Source organism: Homo sapiens, chromosome 1 (genome assembly GCF_000001405.40).
Source record: "Homo sapiens chromosome 1, GRCh38.p14 Primary Assembly".
Lineage (NCBI taxonomy): Eukaryota > Metazoa > Chordata > Mammalia > Primates > Hominidae > Homo > Homo sapiens.
Genome location: NC_000001.11, coordinates 213,999,605 through 214,019,648, shown reverse-complemented (window position 1 = coordinate 214,019,648; position 20,044 = coordinate 213,999,605). Strand labels below are relative to the sequence as shown.

At 40.2% G+C, this 20,044-nt stretch overlaps 1 protein-coding gene across 14 annotated transcripts in view, besides 1 other annotated feature; it reads right to left on the bottom strand.

Annotated features, from left to right (window-relative positions):
* PROX1 (prospero homeobox 1) overlaps window positions 1-20,044 on the bottom strand; it is a 58,360-nt gene that overhangs the window by 21,862 nt on the left and 16,454 nt on the right. For all 14 annotated transcript variants that reach the window (XM_011509773.3, XM_047425575.1, NM_001270616.2 and 11 more), the window contains 2 exons: window positions 14,377-14,484; window positions 7,934-8,128 (listed from right to left, as the gene is read on the bottom strand). In XM_011509773.3, coding sequence (XP_011508075.1) covers window positions 7,934-8,128; window positions 14,377-14,484 — 303 coding nt within the window. The remainder of the gene's footprint in view (window positions 1-7,933; window positions 8,129-14,376; window positions 14,485-20,044) is intronic.
* Window positions 16,849-17,143: an enhancer, noted in NCBI's record as "tiled region #2293; K562 Activating non-DNase unmatched - State 7:EnhWF". NCBI's record gives its function as "activates a minimal TATA promoter and a strong SV40 promoter by Sharpr-MPRA in K562 cells {active_cell/tissue: K562}" and the evidence as "EXISTENCE:reporter gene assay evidence [ECO:0000049][PMID:27701403]".

Here is a 20,044-nt window from a genome sequence, read left to right as displayed (position 1 = left end):
GAGGGGAGGCCTGTAATGCGCACACAGGGAGGCCTCCCATGGCCCACGACGGCTGCTGCCCTGAGGGTCGGGATGCAGGCAGGACTACCCACCTAACGATCTCTGCCTAGATCTTAAATCCGAAGGTGAGGTTTGCACCCATCTTTGGTGGGTGTTTTCTATCCAACCCTAGTGAGGCAACAGAAATCTGAAAACCTTAAGTGAGATTTGAACTGAATGGAGGGGCAAAAGGAAAAGAGGCAGCAGGAGTTTTGTGAGTCAAACTCCCTGTCTTCTGCTAGAAGGGCACAAATTTCCCAGAACCCGTGCCTAGCCACACAGGTGTAAGGCAGAAATATGATCACGGATGTCAATGTTGCACACTGCAAAGAAAATGCACAACATATTTTGGGGAGCCTGTTTTGGGGTGGGGGGGCAAAAAGAGCAGTCAATGGGCCATCTCAAAGTGAGTGCAAAAGCAACGTTAAGGCACGAGAAAGTCACCCCTGCTCATTTTCAACAAGGTCTCTCAGCAGGCCTTGTCACCTGCCAGTGGCTCTTGCTCAGTAAGGTGGGTGTGTTAGTACAGCTGTCTGGCTTTTAAGTGACTTTTGTCAGTTTGAAAGTGAAAGTCTGTTTGAGGAGCTGAAAGAACAATAGCTCAGAGCCCGGAAGAAGAGCTTGTAGCACAAAGAACTTGGCTACACTAGTGTCCCTTTTCATTGCTTCTCATGAAAGATTCATAAGAAGAACTTTAATTTTTTATGACCCCCTTTTTGGTATGACTATATTAGTTGTGTCAACTTCCATATACAGGTTCTCTTTAAATACCAAAAGGTCTGTTGTGAAATTGTTTTCAAAGAGCAAAGGGGGCAGAATTGATTCTGGCCATCCTGTCGGTCTCTTCCTCCAAAAGAAACTGCTATAAGAGACACAGAGATTGCCTTTAAATATGGTTCCCTTCAGCCTTGAAGTTGTCATGAACACTACAATGTAGTTATTTTAAACCTCTGTGATTTACTAGTTCAACTGCTCTCCTCGGAAGAACGATTATATTTGTTTTTCTTGGCTTCACCCTATTTAACAGGAACAGTAGTATAATGATCATTAATAGACGGTTCTCTTTTTCCTACCCTTCTCAAATAGCTCTCTCCACACTGCATCTTTATTTTGTATCTCAGCCAAAAATTGGGGGGTGCAGGAAGACAAAATGCGTTTGTTTCACATCATCTTACAAGATAGAATTGAAGATTGGCTGAAGGCAGTCATTGAAGGAGAAACAATATTTTTAAACTAATTATCTGCTTTCAAGTATTAAACGTCTACGCTTCATCAAAAAGGATGTTAGCAAAAACTGTATTATTGTAAATTAATATTGATGTATTTAAGAGCAGTGAGTGAATAGTCATTAAAATTTCTGCCCTGTGACTGACAAAGAACCAAACAGTTCAAGTTAAATAACATCCTGCGGGGGGAAAAATGAAGAAATTTGATCTATAATGTTATCTGCCATGTGAAAAGGGGTGGCCAACTTCGAACAAGCTTTGGTTTGCTAAATGAATTTGTTTCATCTAGGCGAAATAAACAGGCTGTCTTTCAAAAGGTTGTTAGAACTTCTTCAGACATTTAATCCAGGATGGGCTGAACACAATGATAACATCCCACTGAAAGCTACAGCCACCACCAGCAGCTCTCAGAAGAGAACTTGCTCTCTTTCTCCCATTGATAACCCTTTGTGGGATGAAGAAAAAGAACCAAGGCAAGGAGAACTGAATATCAGACAATAGGCATCACTCCACACACTGTTTCTGAACTTTCCTCATCGCTGAAGGACAATTAATTATGAAGGCCTTAGGGGTAGGTCGAAGCAAGGGAAAACCCACCACTGTCCCAGCACCACAGCCGCTACCTCTGTGTTTGCTAAATGGCTTCGCCTGTTGGGGTACAGCCGCCGAGAGAGCCAATAGATCATTTGTGGGGGGGTGCGGGAGGTGAGGGAGGAAAGCAAAGATTTTTTTGTGTGTGCGCCTGCCCTTGTATAATTCTATTCTCACTGTGAACTCATCCATACACAAAACACAAGGACGATTTTTTTTTTTTTTAAAGAGAGAAAAGCCACAGGGTAGGTTACAGTCAGAAACGGCCTCTCAGTGGTGTGTTAAAAAGGATGGTCTTTTCACCAAATCATTTCACAGAGGCAAAACAGACAAACACAAAGAGTTGAGACTTTTTCTCCTACATTAAATGGAGTAACTGATAAGGTCAGACATATGATACCTAAAGACATGAATCTGTGAACTCTTGAAGTCAAAGGGCCTCTCTGTGCCGAGGAACAATCTTTCAAAGGAAATAGATCATAGAACTCCACTGAATCCCCTTTAAACTTTATGAAGCAGGAGGAGAAAAAGCTCTAAGTAGGGAAGCTTGACAGAAGAGCCTTGAACTATTTTCTGAAGGAAAGATGAGACCCTCCCTAGGCTGCCACAAAACATCTTTTTTTTTTTCTAAAGGCTCCTCTGAACTTTGATATGTGCCAAGACACTGCTATTGAAAGCTGTATAATTATGTGATATAGCCACTGTAGAAAATGCTTTGTTCACCCCAACAAAGGACAATAAGCAAAGTAAAGCGACATTACACTGTATCTTTTTCTTTAAGAATGTTGAGAAAGGTCATGGAATGCTATAACTAATAAAGCTGTTGAGTAAGGAGGTTTTAAAGTTGATCTTACTGTGCTTGAATGTAACCCAATGACAAAAAAGACACAGGGAGCTAAAAATGCAATGACATTACCAAATAGATGATAAATCAATGGGCCCGCTTCATTATACTGATGAACACCTTGAATCCCAAAAGGACAGTGTACAAAAGTGAAGCCTCATGCACGCATAGAATTCTACCTCCACTCCACCCCCTAGCCCTTCAACCCCACTTCCAACCTGGTGTCTTTACTGCGCTCTCCTTCAAATTTCAGGCAATCATTCTGTGGAAGGAATACGTTTCCAGGCAGCCATGTGTGTACATATATTTAGAGAACATTCATTTGATCTCTTAAAAGATCAATTTGGCTTGTCAACGGTGGGACTGGCAAGGGAAGAAATGGTAAGGGTTTCTTTTCCTCCTCGCCACCCACCAAGAGTGTGTTATGCGATTATTTAAACGGCTCAGCAGCTTTGAGGCCAAAAGACTGCAACAGCAGTGAAAGGCTCTCACTCATGTGCCAGTTTTCTAAACGATCACTCATATTTAAGGATCTATTTGGAGCAGAGGGAAGCGCTTCCTAAATCCACCTGTCCTCATTTTTCTTTAAAGAGATGACAATGCGAATAAAAGTCTTCCAAATATATTAAATCTTCTGAAATGTGGGTTCTATTGAAAGTGGGAGTAGGTTAAGAAAAGGGTAGGTATGGGGTAGAGAACATATTCAGCAAGTGTGTATGTATTAGTGTGTGTGTGTGTTGGGGGTGGGGTGGGGTGTTGTTTTTTATTTTCTATTTCCAAGAGGAAAGTAAGAAAACACATTCAAAGGTGTGCGGAAGTACCCTTCTTCCCTGTCATGTGTCACCCAGAAAAATGTCAAACCCACAGTCTCTAAGATGGAGCATCTGCCCAGTGAGGTATTAGTACCTTAGAAAATGGCATTCATAAGGCCACTAATGAGTGAATCAAGTTCCCTATTCAATTTATTTTGAAGCCTTCCATCCCCAAACCTGGGCCTTTAGCGAGGATAGGGGAGATCTGTCATTCTTACTGGAAACTTAGACCCTGCCTACAGGTGAATGACTAGCCACTGAGGGGCCCAGGAGGGATGTGTGGCTTACCATGGCGTGGGAAACACTACCTCCCGGTACCCTGGAATGAGAAAGAGAGCTCAATGTGACTGGATGAAGGAATCTGGCACATTCTTTTCTCAACCTACACTCAGGCGGTAACAAACCCTCCAACCTTTGGATGATTCTGCCTTTCGCAGCTGCACATATAGCTGCTATGTCTTTTGGCTCCTTACGTTGTGCAATTAACCTTTGTGAGTTACACAAGTTAGTTGTCTCGGTGGAGCTCTTTGCAAAACAGGTAAACCAGCCTCAGAAACTGACAGAGATCGTCATCTTCTTTTCCTGCCACAGTTGTGAGGAAAACAACAAAAGCGATAAAATCCAACTCATACGCCCCTAAAGTCACAAGTATCAGTATGATTTAAAAACTGGGAAGGAATCCCAAACTTGCTCTTTCTGCCCATAAAATTTTTTTTGGAAGCCCTTCAAAGTGAAGTGAGAATGAAGCATAGAAATATATACCATCACACCTGGAAAGACAAATTTATTGTTGCCAATCTCATTAAATGTGAGGAGCAGAAATGAAGGATACAGCACATAATTACACACCCCTCTCCTGCGTGCCTCACACACTCACGCACAGAAGCAAGACACCCCACCCGGTGTGATATGGCCAAGCTTCTGCCCTTTAGCACAAACTAAAAGTGTATTTCGTATTTTTCCCCTTGGGTGTCTTCTTCCACATCCCTTGGGTCTTCTCAAACGCTCACCACCCTAAGTCTGCACACCGTGCCAAGAATTCTGGCAATTGTGTAAACTGATACAAAAGGCAGAACAAGCTCTACTGCCACTTAGAAGGTCCTGTACTCATAAAGGCCAGGAAATGCAGGGTCTAGGAGAGGAGAGCAGGCAAGCCACTCCCTCTTCGCTGCTGATAAACTTTCCCCATCTGCTTTATTTTCCTGTAGGCCAGGGGTCAGCAGCCTCTCCAGCCTTGAGAGCCATCAGCAGCAGGGGCTGGACGGAGGTGGTGCTAAGCAGTGACAAAGGTGCCACTAGCAAGCTTCTGACAGAGGCAGAGATGGGAGTAGAAGGCTGAGAGAAGACAAGGGGTAGAGGAGAGAAAGAAGGAATAAAGTAGTAGTGAAGAGACGTCAAACCTCCTTCTCTCTCCCTGGCTCGATCTGCCTCTGCCCAGTTAGAATAACTTGAAGAATAGTAAAGCTTTGGGCAAACTGAAGTTTTTCTTGTTATTATATTGGTATCACTGTCATTATTATTACCCACATTAAATAAGCCCTATTTTGGTAAAACACTTAGAAGAGTGCCTAGGTCATTAGTAAACAGTCAATAAATGTTAGCTATTTTATTATTGTTCCCAACAATTGATTGAGAAGTCTGGGAATACAATCAATAAGACATTTTATTGTTTGACCAGCTCCTACTAAGCTGGGTGACACGATTCCTTGGAATCGACTGGATCTTGGGGCACCGTGTAGACGTAGCTTCAAAGTCCCTCTACCATGGTTTAGCTCTGTTTGTAGCACAGTTCTCCATTTTGCCATCCTCTTCACTTGCTAATACTTAAACTATAGGTTCATTTTACTTGACCTTAAGAGGAGAAACTTAAATACAAAAGTAAAGCCGTGCACACAGTATCAGTGGAGGTATTCAGCTGAAGGTGCCGGATCTACTTTTGGCTCTCAGCCACGGCCCACACTAGCAAAGCTACCACGATAAGAACGGTGGCTTTTTAAGCATCTCACTTAAGCAGTGACCTCCATGCACAAAGGCACGGAAAAGAAGGGCTCACCTTATCTGAAACTTTTGTCAGTAAATGAGCCAGACCGAGAGGCTAAAAGAAAAACGATTTCGTGATATTAGGATTATGTGTGGTGGTCGGTACGCGTGTGTGCATATGGATGTGTAAGTGTGTGAGTAGAGGGGGCAGGACACACTGCATGGTCCTGCTTTCTTCCCTTCTTTTCACTGAAGGAGGAATCAGATCCAGAATAGTCCAATAACTGTCCGAAGTCACATGAGAAGTGACAAAATTCCTGCCCGGGCCCCATACTCCTTGCAGTGAAGCAGTCTTAAAATAGACACTGCAGATAAAGGAGAGGTGGCCTGGCTGGAAGTGGATATGATTCACAAAGAGAGAAATATTAGATGTTAATCATATTAAAGAGGATTTAGATGATGCTAAATGGAGCAGCTTGTCGGGTACCTCCTGATGCCAGCCATCCCCTGTTTGTGTCATTTTGGCCCCTGGCCTGTGGGTAGCGGATTAAATTCCAACCAGGTAAGGTTTAAGCAACCCGAAAACCCTCGTGCGCACTTTAAGGACTTGTCCTCTTGGGTATTTTATATAGCAAAAATGCAGAAGTCATCTCATGAATCTTGGGCAATTCTTTCATGAAGCTTGATGTATGCTGCCAAACAGATACTTATGTCATCATGTAATGTAAATAATTCACTAGCACACAGAAGTCTCTTAGCTTAAGGTTTAGGGCAACAGGCTTAGCAGAAAGGCAGGGGAGAAAAGATGCTCTTAATGAGATTTCTTTAAAATGGTTAGCCATAATCATATTCTTCAGCTTTAGAAGAAGCCTGCTAGTGCTCTGTCATTATAGTGAGCCAGTGCTCTATTACAACTGAGACTTTAAAAACAGATTTTAAAATAGTGGAGCAGTACACGAAGAATTCTCACTTTTAATGTATTTAGCAAACACACACACACACACACACACACACACACCACCCAAACTTCATTTATCACACATTTGGCAAAAAATATATTAGTCTTAGAGAGCAAAGACAAATAGGTAGCTTACACTATAACTACTCAAACTTTCAAAGAAAAACTATGACTTCCCCATTGCTGAGCTTCCATATTCAATTCTTTATAAGCCACTATAACTGGTCTGCATTGCCAAGAACTGTAGGGACAAGAGCCGAAAAAAAGGAGGGGGGCAAGCAGGAAGAGTACTAGGGGTCAGACCCCTTAATTGACAGAGCGAGGCCAAGGTGTCCTCTTTCCTTTGAAATTTGGAACTTCCTGGGTATTCCTGGATACCTATCTACAAGAAGAAAGCAAGAATATTAACATAAGGTCCAAGTGCACACAGACGTTGGAGAAAAAATTCCTACCCTCAAGATGGCACAGCATCTAGCCAAGATAATACAAGAAATGGACCAACTTTGTCAAGCCACAGCCTGTCTGATCTCATCATCAGGGAGTTCAGCCTGCAGAATTCTTGCCATGTTCCCACCTCCAACTACTGTTGCCTCAGCCAGCAGGGCTCAGCAAAATGCCTTTGTGAGTACTGGGAGATTTGCTAGTGTTGTCTCACAGAGAGTCATCACGTTGTGATGAAAACTGTTTGCTGAGGCACCACATTAGCCCATAAAGAAATGCCTTACTCATAGCCACACATCTTTCATTGTTGCATGGATATTGCTTTCTGGGAATTCTCTATGCTGCTTTGTGTGGATCTAGAATATACACGTCACAGATATATATAAGTGTGTATGAGAGTGTTTGTACAAAGAGCAGCATGCTTGTGAAGGTACACTTAGGCAAAACACACGAGTCTCTCCTCCAAAAAGAACAAAAACAGAAACAAAATCCCAAAAAAAGATGTCAATGGATCTCTTATGCTATGTACTTAGTAAATTATCATACCATTTCCTCCACAAAGGGACTAAATGTCAAAGTCAGAAACCATGATCACTCCCCCATCAACGTTTCTAGACTTTTTAAGAAAATAACATTGGTAGCTACCATTGCACATAGCATGTATCAGCTCATTGACCTCTCAGAACCTAAATATGAAAAAGGTCTATTGGAGTAGGGACCTCTTCCTTGGAAAATGAATCACTCTGTCTTTGCTGCTTGCTGCCATTTTTCTTTGGATTCTACAGTTCCCTTTTCTGTGGCCAAATGAGTCTTCCACACAAGCTGAAAAGCCAGGGAATGGGGAAAAAATGGCAGTGGGTCAGAGCCTCATGATTCCAATGGGGACTATGGAAGCTCCTCATCACAGCTCTACCTGTTACTCTATTGGGGGATGCTTGTATGCGAAACCAACACAAAAACAGATTTGGGTACATTTCTAAAGAAAATAAATTTTTTAAAAAAGGAAAAGGGAGATGACCAAAAAATAAAGATTAGTTCCTACCTCAAAGTCATTTGCTTTATTGTAGTGCATGTTCAGAGCCCTGTACAGCTCACAGTCTCTGGTTATAGACAGCTCTTCAGTACTGGTGACCCCATCGTTGATGGCTTGACGTGCGTACTTCTCCATCTGAATGTAGTAAAACTCACGGAAATTGCTAAACCACTTGATGAGCTGAGAGGTAATGCATCTGTTGAACTGTTAAATTTAAATGTTGAAAAGGATAAGAACATTGCCATTTTCTTCATTTATTTTTTTAAGTGTCTGAAGCATTTTTAATGTTCCCGTCCCTTCTTTACTTGGAAAGATACGTATTTAACTCCACCAAAATGGTGGCAAGAGAGGCAAGAGGAAGAATATACTTACAAGAAATTATAAAAACCTGTCAGTAATGGAAATCATATCACAACCCTCTACCTTTCAAGTGGAAAAGTCACATTCTAAATCAGACTTTCCTTAAGCCGAACATCTTTATTTTTAACCATTGTTCTTCATCTTTCAGTAGAACAACTTGCATTTATATACTTCTTATGGACATTCATTGAAGCCATAGAATCCTGGAAGTGTTGTTACTCCCATGTACCAGAGGTGATGTGCCACATGACTCTACCACTAGTTTGATATACTTTTTTTTTTTAAGTGAGGATTTGTATCACCGCATTACAGCCCCCTTCAATGCAGACAAATGGCCTTCCCACAAAATGGGAGGAGTTGGCATTTGCTTATTTTTTTGGCAATGAGTGATTCCCATGTCCATCCAACTGTGATTCCACTTAATGTTTGCCCACGGCATTCATGTCTGGTGAGGTCTGGTCAGCTCCTGGTGCCTGTTCACCTGCTTCCTGAAGCCAGCATTGGATAAGACCCATGTCCCCCTCCCTTGGTATCTCTGCCATTTGGGAGGCATGGTTAGGACACAGTACACAGATGGCATAGACAGGAGCTTTATTACATTTTTTTAAATGCCAAGTTACTATAACATGGTTAGGCCTTAAAACTTTGTTTACCAAGGTTTCCTGATGACCTTTGAAATGAAGATGTCTTTCTGGATGCACTGCAAATGATACCATCCTTATTGACAGTCCTCTGCTCACGTAAAGGACAGATGAGTCTCAACTTGCCAAGTCAAAACCAATAAATCCATAGCTCTATATCAGGCGGGCTGACAGACAACCCCCTGCCTTTTGTCATCACAGGCATCCCCTTCCCTGGGCCCCCAGAAAAAGATGTACATTCATCAAAAATCAACAAAGAGCACTTATCAAACACAGGCCATGAGAACATCCAGACTCCAACAAGATGACAGCTAAAGTGTGTATTGGGGCTCTAATTACTACACAGAAAGTTGTTTCTATACTAGCAAAGATAATAAATGAATGAAAATTTATGGCAGAGAATGGAAGTCACAAGGAAACAGAAGCAGAGAGACTGGTGTTTCTCCCAAAAGGCCAACTTGCATCATAATTGCCATGGAGTTGCAAGGGCCCTTACAGATAATTGACCAGAAAATGATTAAGTCATCAGCAAATCGCTTCTGCTTGCAAGAGTTCAAACATGTACTTAACCTATCCAAGAATTATATTTTCACTCTGTGTGTCTGCTCTGTCTCTATTCAGCCTCGCGGGGAACCCGATTAAAAAGACAACTGAAGGACCCCCATTATCTGATCTTCTGGTTGCCGATTTCAATAGAACTTAAACCCATTACGATTTGCTGAACTTGGAGTTCTTTCCATTTTATCTCAGCAGTAAAATACACTGTCCAAATTTCCAGACACTGAGATAAGGACTACAGGCCCCCGTGACGGCTTACTGTTCCTTTTTAATTCTTTTAGAATAAGAAACAAAACATTACAAAATGATAGCAGGCTGTGCACTGGGGAATGAAAATTGCTTTGACATGGAGATTAGGCTTCTGCATTGTTACAAGACATTGTCTCATATGGACAAGAGTACTGTAGAGGAAAAAAATAGAAGGGTATTTTTTTTCTAGAATGGTCACGAATGACCTAATGGGGAGGACAAAAAAGTAAGTGCACTTGCCATTATTTACGAATGGGACATAAAGGGAGATTTAAAGCTTATTGTTGGAGAATGGAAATACCAGAGAGAAAGAATGGACAAAAACAACAGACTCCCCAAACATGAGGCAAGCGAAATGACCAGCCCAACAGCCTAAGGAACAGGGTTTCCCTCCAGGAGAAGTGAACTAAAATTTGTTCAGTTTTAGTCGCCGGCTAAAAGCAAAAGCAAGCCCCCGCTTTTCTAGATATTCACACTGGGGGAGAAAAAGTATTAAACTTTAAAGAGTTAATTTCCCTCATTCTGTAGTGGCTTACAAGAAAAGGATCAATTGTTCTATAAAGGAAAGCTCTGTAGTGTGTTAATGTGTTACTGCAAAAACTAATCGCTACAATAAAGAGGCTGTGTTTCCACAGTGTACGAGTCTCTGTGACTTTGATTAATGCTTCCCACGGGACATCTCAGCCTCAATATGGGCTGAAGAAACTTCCTAAATATTCAATGAGCATGGTCAAAAGATGTATAAAACAAATCAATCTGACACCTTAATCTGGCTAGGCAGCAGTTGACTCAAGGGGTGGAGGGAATGAGATACATCATTTAACACTGCCGGCTTGAAAAGCTGTGAGCGTCTGTTCTTCAAAGCTAAAATGACACTGAATCTGCTGTACTTAGTGGTCTAAGAGTTATTAGTTTGTACATTAAAATCAGCACCCAGTAGTGAACAGGGAGCTGGTGCGGCCCATCGATCCCTGGCAGCTCTCTCACATTTGTCCACTTGTCCTTCTCAAAGGATTTGTAGCCCCGATGAGCTGAGCTTTTTGTTTGGCTAAATGTCATTATGAGGGAATTAAGTTGGCTCTCTGTGAGAACATAGAACTTTGTTTAGATTCTTGCTCTAGGAGTTAAACTAGGTCGGCCCTGGTTTCATCCTTCATATACATCACCCCTGTAGAAGAAGAACTCTCGCCATGCCAACATCTCTGAATTGTATGATTTCCCTCTACCTCTTTCGTTCCAAGGTAATTGAAAAGCATTTACCTCTTACCCAGGTGGAAGTCATTTGTGGAGAGTTAAGCACTGTGTCCATTCCTAAGGAGAAATACAAAGGAGTGGGCACCACTTTGGCATGACTCACCTTCTAGAGCAAGTCAGAGGATTTACCCCATCTAGCTCTATCCTCCAAGTGTGGCTTTGATGGACCATTACGTTATACCATATTCAGGAAACAAGATATTTTCTGCTCACATTTTTTTCTCCTGGTTTTTTTTGTTGTTGTTGTTGTTGTTTGTTTTTTGTTTTTGCTTGCAAAATGAACTTATGATCACTAAATAAAATATGAGGGCTGAGCGCGGTGGCTCATGCCTGTAATCCCAGCACTTTGGGACGCCAAGGCAGGCAGATCATTTGAGGTCAGGAGTTCAAGACAAGCTTCGCCAACATGGTGAAACCCCGTCTCTACTAAAAAAAATACAAAAATTAGCCAGGCGTGGTGGCACATTCCTGTAATCCCAGCTTCTTGGGAGGCTGAGGCAGGAGAATCTCTTGAACCCAGGAGGTGGAGGTTGCAGTGAGCTGAGATTGCACCATTGCACTCCAGCCTGGGTGACAAGAGTGAAATTCCGTCTCAAAAAAAAAAAATTGAATAAAATAACTTTATTATTTGAAAGAGTACATTTTACTAAAGTTAGGAATTTTCTCCTAGATGAATGTGGCCATGACCAAGTAGAGCCTCATGTCATTATAACAAGCATTACATGGTCCATAGATACATGCATATATCTTGTTCCAGATAAATGATGCAGGTTTCATTTCTGAGAAGACCCTAAGTTCTCTTCCCCAATTTCTCTAGTGATTTCTTGAATCCTGGCCAAAATAAAAGTTTGGATTGTATATTCATATATAAAGAAATATCTATTTCTTTCAGCCTTGCAAATAAATAGACACACTTGTCTATCTGTATGTCAATGTCAAGCTATAGATATGTGTATATATGTATATGTGTATTGTGAACCCATGCACATGCACATATGTGTGTGTATACATTGTCAATATTCACATCTGTGATTATCCTTAATATTGAAGAAATCCCAGAATGCTCTGCCATTGTTTTCTGGAAAGTCTCTGGACCACATTGCCTGGACTACCTTTCCCTTTCTTTGCATGGCTTTCTACTCTCATCAGTGTAAGCTCAAGAAATACAAATTCATTTATTACTAACCAAAGAAAAAACATAATTAGGAAAGTTAAAAATGTATAATTCCTTCCAAAAATAAAAGAGAAGTGACCTTCAGTGATTTTCTGCTTTGCCTGATATGTTCTACTGTTTCCCCTCCATTACAGTGGATAATTGGTAGTAACCAGACTCACATATACTTTAACAGCCTTCTCTTCCAGTATGGGTAAGGTATGGATAGAATCAACAATCTGAATATTAGTGCTTTTGAAAATAAAATATTCACCCAGGTATTCCATTGTTATCTACACAGAGTCAGTGGTTATTTGCAAAGCTGAATTGCTAGGGGCATTCTAGAGGAATGGGAACAGTTTCTTGTTGGTTTGTATTGCATGGTATTTATAAAGCTACAGATCAATAATCTTCCCCACTTGCCACCACACACCACACACATGCACGCATGCTTGAACTCTCACAAAAAATGATTGTTTCTAATATTGACGTCTACTGTTGGGTAGTGTTGGCTCAGAATGGCTGCTGTTTCCCACCCTCCAGGTGGCTGTGTTTCCGTGGTGGGTGAGTGACACCTATGTGTGCAGTTGGTAAAGCTCTTTGGCCTACTTCTGGGTGAAAATTGCTATGCAAAGAATATAAGTTATTGTCATTATTATTTCACAACACTGAAGATCATTGCCCTAAAAGGAATGAGTAACATGGACATCTGCACACACAGACACACACACACACATATGTGCACACAATAACCCTTTTCTCCCTGTCCTCCATGTCCCCTCCTAGAACTAAAATGTTGGGAGGATTCCCTGGAAGACAAACTTTACCAGGTTCTACTAGACTCTAGAAGCTGGTCAGTCCTCAACCAGGTGACAAATTGCCTTCAATTTGTGTATTCTAGATTGTCCTCTACAAAGCCCAAACCCTTTTCCTGGCCTCTGTGTCACTCAGCCTTGTTTGTGCTCACTTAGTCTTATCCAGACATTTACGTGATGGACTTTCCCTGCCTCCCCATCTTGCCCAGTTTGCTGGTGCTGAACAAGGAGAAAACAAGCCTTCCACTTAAGGAGCACAGCCAGGGAAGGAGAAAGATAAAAGGCTGAAGTTGATACACAATTCAAAAGCAAACAGGAGGGAAAACAGAACTTTTCTTATAAGGCCAAATAAAACACCAGTGAAGGAAACTGAAATGAGTTGGCCTGCAAAATGGGGCCAATGAAGCCACTTGGGCATCAAGCACAAAACAAGCTGCGTGCGGGGAGCAGTGGAAGAGCGAGTGTGTTTTGGCAGCTTGTGAGTTCTCCATGGCAGAAAGAAGAACTTGTACATATGGGGGTGGGCAGGGGAGGAGTGGGGAAAAAACACCCACCCCTAATAAACTAATCTCAGCTAATGTAGTGTTTATCAAGTTCCTGGGATAATGATACCATGTGTGTCATTATCATCATCAAAACCCAATCTATGTTTTAAAAAGTTACAGATGATTAACACAACATCAAGTTGATGCAAACAATTACTTAAAACCCACACACAGACACAGACACATACACACACACACACACACACGCATACACACACAGAGAGAACCAGGAGGTCCCAATATTCTGTAGAATGAGGGAGGCTGCAGCTGTAGGCCGACAGCTTTCATATCCTCATTTGAATAATGTGTCCTGAATCTGTCACTTTATTCATTCTCCTTATGCTCAGTGTACTCTACATCAACAACAAATTAAGTTGTAAATAAGAGACAATCATCACTTTTGTTTTTAAGCAGCTACTGCATAGAGAATTTCAATGTACGCTCCTTTTCGACAGGGGGAAAAAGAGGTGCTAGAGTTTGCTTTCATAAGCACAAATATGGGGAAACCAACAGAAACAAAAACAGAAACAGTTTACTGTTGCTGAGGGGAGGGAAAAAACATTCTCTAAAGCACACCCATCCATTACCAGCTGAAATTTCTTCAAAGAAGCTACTCAAACATATAAAGACAGAGGCTAAGTTTTTCAGACTACATTGGAAACCCATGCAACTTATTAACACCAGTCTTCCAATCTTAATACACAAGTGGCATCTTTGCTTAACACACCTTTAGACAAAAAGACAAGTGCATTAAATCAATTATAACACAGGTGTAGGAATAAACCAATTCCACATTCATCTCCATTAACTTCCGGGAGTTCAAATTACTGCCACATGCATAGAAAATGAAAAAATTAAGAATAAAAAAAGTCCCTACCTTTACGTCGGAGAAGTAGGTCTTCAGCATATTGGAGCTGGGATAACGGGTATAAAAAAACATGAGCTTTGCTTTTTTCAAGTGATTGGGTGACAATCCTTCCTGCATGTAGGATGCAATTGGTTAAGGAAAAGCAATTCTGTAAGCACAAGGACTCCCACCTCCCTCCCTCCAGTCCCCACCTCCATAGAGTCTGGGGGTCCATCAAGCTGCGGTGGGAGTGCTGGAAGGTATATGACACTGGCTATGGCATCCATTGCTAACTTGCTGCCATTTGCTCAGTGACCGTCGCCTGTCAGAGGTTGCCACATGCAATGGTGAGGATGCACAATTGAGTTGCAGAATCTTGGCTACTTTAGGGTGAGGATGGCAAAATATTTTCCTTGCTTTAGGTCGGTAGGCTATCTATACATTCACTTGTTGCTAAGGAGACAAATGCACCCAACATGTACTACACAACTCTTGTCATAAGAGGTTTTTTTTTCTTCCTTGCAATTACAGTTCTGTTTGTTCTTCTCTCCACACTCTGCAGTTTAAAGCAAATTATTCTACTAATGTACATGAAAATATAAAATGCATTATTTTGAACACTGCTATGCAAGTTTCACATTTTACCTTTTAGTGTTAATCTAATGGAGCATCTTGACTCACTTGCTTTTTATCTTATTATATCCTTTTAATTGTTTTTCCTTTTAAATAATAGCTAAAACTTGGGAAGAGTAGTTTTGGCATGGAGAGGACAGGGAGGGGGCTGTTGCTTTTGTGAAAGCAATGGTCCAAAACCAAATACAATTTGCCTGTCTTGGATTTATAGTTAACTCCTTTGAGAGTGACGCAGTAGTTGGGGCTAACAAATCAATACATGTGGGTTAGCAGATCAATAAATGGCCACTTACCCAAAATAAGAAGGCCTATTTATCTGGAAACATCATTACCTTTTAGATCTGTAAACAGCAGCAACTAAAACAGTTCCCAAGAGAATGTGAGGCTAACCATAACAATCCAGGCTTCCTGATTCTCCCCCAGATTCTTGGCACTCCTCAGCAGACTCAGAGCTGGGATGGCTCTGGTCACATCTGTGCCGCAGCCTGGCCCTGCCATTTCCTCAGCAAATTAATGGCTTTATAATTTATCAGAAATGAAGATGCACGTGGAGAAAATCAATGTGGTCCCCCACAAGGTCAATTAAGGGCCCTTCCTAGAAGCTTCTCTAAGGATTTTCTTTTAGAAGAGTGTCTAAGAAAAATAAGAAAAAAAAGAAAAGAAAGTGTGCTTGTGTGTGCAAACACACACACAAACACACTCACACAACTACCCAACAAAAATTTCACCCCTTAGGCAGAAATGTCAAATAAACACAGATATTTAGGAAAGGTAAAATTTTCCAAATGACCTTCATCAAGTCTAGCGTGACTAATCTTAAGAATGGAGGGAAACCAGAAAGTTACTAGAGAAGCATAATCAAATTAATATGGATAAGCTCTTGACTACTTATAACAGGGTGTTTAACCAAATATTCTGCTGAGAATTTGTTCAATTAACATTCCCTTTAATATCCCATGCAATTTTAAAAAGATCACCTTGGTCTGTAAATAGAAAAGTTAAGTAGTGCAGGTTTTTTATTTTTTTATTTTTTGTTAAACTGAAAATAAACACTAAAGAAAGAAATTTTGATTTTATATCTGTAAGCCAAAGCAGCTTAACTGAACTTGTGTTTTTGTTTGAGATCCTTAATGATTACAAAGACGATAATTTATGACTGACATACTTCTTGTGCCAAGGAGAGGGCTGAAAGGCCCTCCAGTAACCTCCATTAGACTGATACAGAAGACTAAAGGAGCCCAGCACACTTCAGGACCATCTGTCCAAATGGATAAGTGAAATAATAGTTGCAAGCTGTCTGCGACTGCCTTGTGATAAGAGTTTTAGGCAAGTCCAAACTTTGACAGACACTCTCAGATCTGGGTTCTAATCTTTTCTTTCAGATGGCTACATTAAGACAACGTCATGCATTTAATTGGAAGTCACAAATCTTTTAAAATTTGGTGTCATACAAAATACAAAGTGTTTTTCTGTGTTTCTTAGATGGGCACTGAGCTACCAAAACTTCCTGAAGCTTTTAATACATCTAATTTATGCTAAGATGTTTTTGTTCTTTTTATCTAAAAAAAGTAAAATATCCATTTTATTTTGATCAGTATTTAGAGGCTTTTTATCTAACAAAAAATTATTCTGATTTGGATTTCTCAAGTTCATTTTTGCTTTAAAATGTTTCCTGTTGGTAATACTTGGAACTGATCAGTTGAAATGGAACACAGAATTAATCTTTATCTCTTGCTTATTGTGTAATTAAGATAAAATTCCCATAAAATATATGTTTCTAATAAACTATTAAAAATAACTAATGAAACATTTAAAAGGCAACAGTTAGATAATCCTTTTTTTCTCCTCAAAATAAATCTGAACTGACCAATTGGTTAATTTCCCTTTTAAGTGCTTGTGCTGAAAAGCAACTGTTCTTCCAAGAAAGCACTAGCTGTTTCCAGGATACTTACACACGCACAATGACTCATGATGGAATAGATTCAGTAAACATACAGCTGTACTGAACACGAGCTAAGCTCCATTCAAGGCCAGGAAAGAAAATGAGCACAAATAAATATTAAGGAGGTAAAGGGGAGTGGGGTGAGGGGGGATGGAACGCAAACAAGATCTGTCCCAGCAGCTCATGTGGCTGTGCCTCAATTCTCTTAGCCATAGCTTTGTGAAGACAGATGACATTCAATTCTATGTGTAATGCAAAATAGACAATAACTGTTGAAACTTGAGACAGCTGCCAGGTGTAAAAAAAAAAAAAAAAGAAAAAAGAAAAAAAAAAGAAAAGATGATAAATCCATAAATTAATGAAAGACATCTGCTCGGGAATATAAAAGATCAGAGAAGCAGGGTACTGCAGCTGAACGTAAAGCAGTGTTCAAACAACCTGAGAACCTAAGTGTTGTCTGTTTACCAAGTACAATATAACCTTACCTAAACAGCAGCCACGGGAGGAGCAGCGGAGGCAGCAAAAAGGCAAATGGGAGAATAATAAGCTGTGAAAGCGGAGGAAGAAAATTCTTTTTTTCCAGCTAAACTCTGGATTGTAGCTAGAGATTGTACGTGCTGCAGTTCCCAGCAAATGGGTTGAGACTACTTACATTTTCCAAAACATTTGAAACCTAAAGAATTTTAGTTCTGCCTTATTCCCTAATTTGCTAAGTTTCTAAGAGGTTTTCCCCCTAGAAACTAAAATGGGGAGAAAAGATCTAAACTCTCTCACATAATGACAGTGATAGAGCAAGTCGTAACTCCCACTAGGAAGTTCACCATAATCGGAGGGCTGTGTAGTGTAGGGATTTTTTTTTTTTAATTTACTTACTTTATAATTTTTTTCAGGGGAGGGGGGTAGTGTAGGAGCCCAAAGTCTTTTAGTCTTTAATCTACATGTTTTGCTCTAGCTAATATAAGTACTATAGCCTCCACAAGACTTCTAAAAATGTATAAGATCAATTTCTGTGGATGGTTTCAAATTTCAGAAATTCATTTCTAATCTATGGTTCCTGGTTGGATTTTAATTTCAAATTACTAAACCATTTTCCTTTCTAAACTTCAAGTCTTTCTAACATTCTCCCTAAAAGTTGAGTAGAAAAAGCCGGCTGTTTCAGAGAACAGGCTCAATTTCTTCACCTGCACGTCTTAACGGCTTATACTACTCCTCTTGTGCTTTAACTGGGTGCATGCAAATGTTTGGGGCCTAAACTAGGCTATTTTTCTTGAGATGCAAAGAGGATGAATGACAAGGAACATCATGAAGAAAAGCAATTGGCTGACTGTTTCTTTTGGAATTTGAATAAAACTTAATATTTGATTAAACAGATTCATTTGCAAAGATACTGAACATATTTTTAAAATCCAAGACATGAGCCCTTGGAGCAGGTGCACTGAAATTCAGTTTAACTTGCATACACATTCACTATTTCCCTTCTACTAGATGGGATAATGAGGTAGTGTGTTCTATCCTACAGAACATATATGTTTAATGTGGTGAATGTAGAATGGGTTGACCTGATAAGCTGGTGTTCTTAATAGTTCTTATCTTAGCTACTTTGTTCAAAAAACAGATGGTACCTTTTGGAGTGGGAGATAATTTTTCCTGAAAAATTAAATTATATATAACAGTTTGGAAAGCCATGAACGAAAAATTAAAACATAATAATAGCAATCACAGTTGTACCATTTCATTACATTTCTGCCCATTTCTATTGATCTTTTCGAGGAATAACTGTACAACCGGATCATATATGGCCCCGTATCCCTAAAATTGAAGTAAGACATCACTCACTGTGATTCCCAGATATTTCTTCAAAGTAAAAGCTTGAGAATTTTGCCTACACACTAACAGTTAAATCAAGGGAAGAACACACTGCCATACAGAGGTAGAGACAGGAGAAAAGTGGGCCCAATCTCTCTACAAACCAACAGATCCTCACTGGTTTCAGAATTGTGGGAACTATAGAAAAGGTTGTTTGCCTATCTTACTCTTCCTGAGAAATAATATACCAATGAGATAAATGGTTAAAAGTGCAATGTATTAATAGTAGAGGGGGGAAAAGAATAGGAGCATAGAAGGCCAAAAGGTGGAAAATGTAATCACTAATTGCCACGAGAGGCCGACATTATTTAGCTATATGAAAGAAACAATTCTGAGTGTGAGCAACTAACATTTCACATGAACACGGGTGTTTCCCAACAGAATCACCGCTCGACAGAAAGTTATGTTGATAGAAGAAAGGAGAAGTCATGCCTCTGAAGAAGAAGCAACTATATTTTCTTTAAAGCCTTTGATATGTATCAAAATAAAAGGAACTTATTTCAATTCAAATCCTCAAAATTCCTCCGGGGATTTGGAGAGGTTGAGACAATGAACATAGCCAACACTTAAAGCAATCTAAAAGATTTTTTTCCTAGAAGACTAAAAACAAAAAGCACAGCCATAATTATAATGATCTGGTTATAATGAAAAGTCTAATTTAAAGAAAAACCATAAACTGGCATCTTGAACTAAAGAGCTTAGTGTGGACTTACAGGAGTTTTGAAACCTGGCATTAAATCTTTAAATATTCACCAAAATTGGCACGCATGTCACTTTACTCTGTGTGTGTGTGTCTGTGTGTGTGTGTGTGTGTGTGTAAGAGAGAGAGAGAGACAGAAAGAACCCACTATCACAACTACCTGGTTCAAAATGAAGTTAAGAGATCTCTGGGGTGCAATGGGGTCTTAGCCCTAGACATTAGCCTTACATGAACCTCTGAAGATGCTCTTTTTGCAAAGGGCACAAAAACCATTCAAGCCATTGTGTCTTCTTACTTTGCCTTTCTCATCACCAACAGCGATATTCCAATCATTTGATCAATATTTACTGCCTGCTTATAATATGTAAGGCATGGTGCTTGGTGCAGCTTTGATTCATGGCTGGTGGATTGAATTTTAGATCTTCAAAAGGTCCAAGTGAAATCAACAACCAAGCTAAAACTCCATTTCTACGTATATGTAGAAATCTCCCACATCTTTCTCTTCCCTTTCTGTTACAATGTTCTTCTCTTGCTCAGTATAAGAGAGACTCCATGTT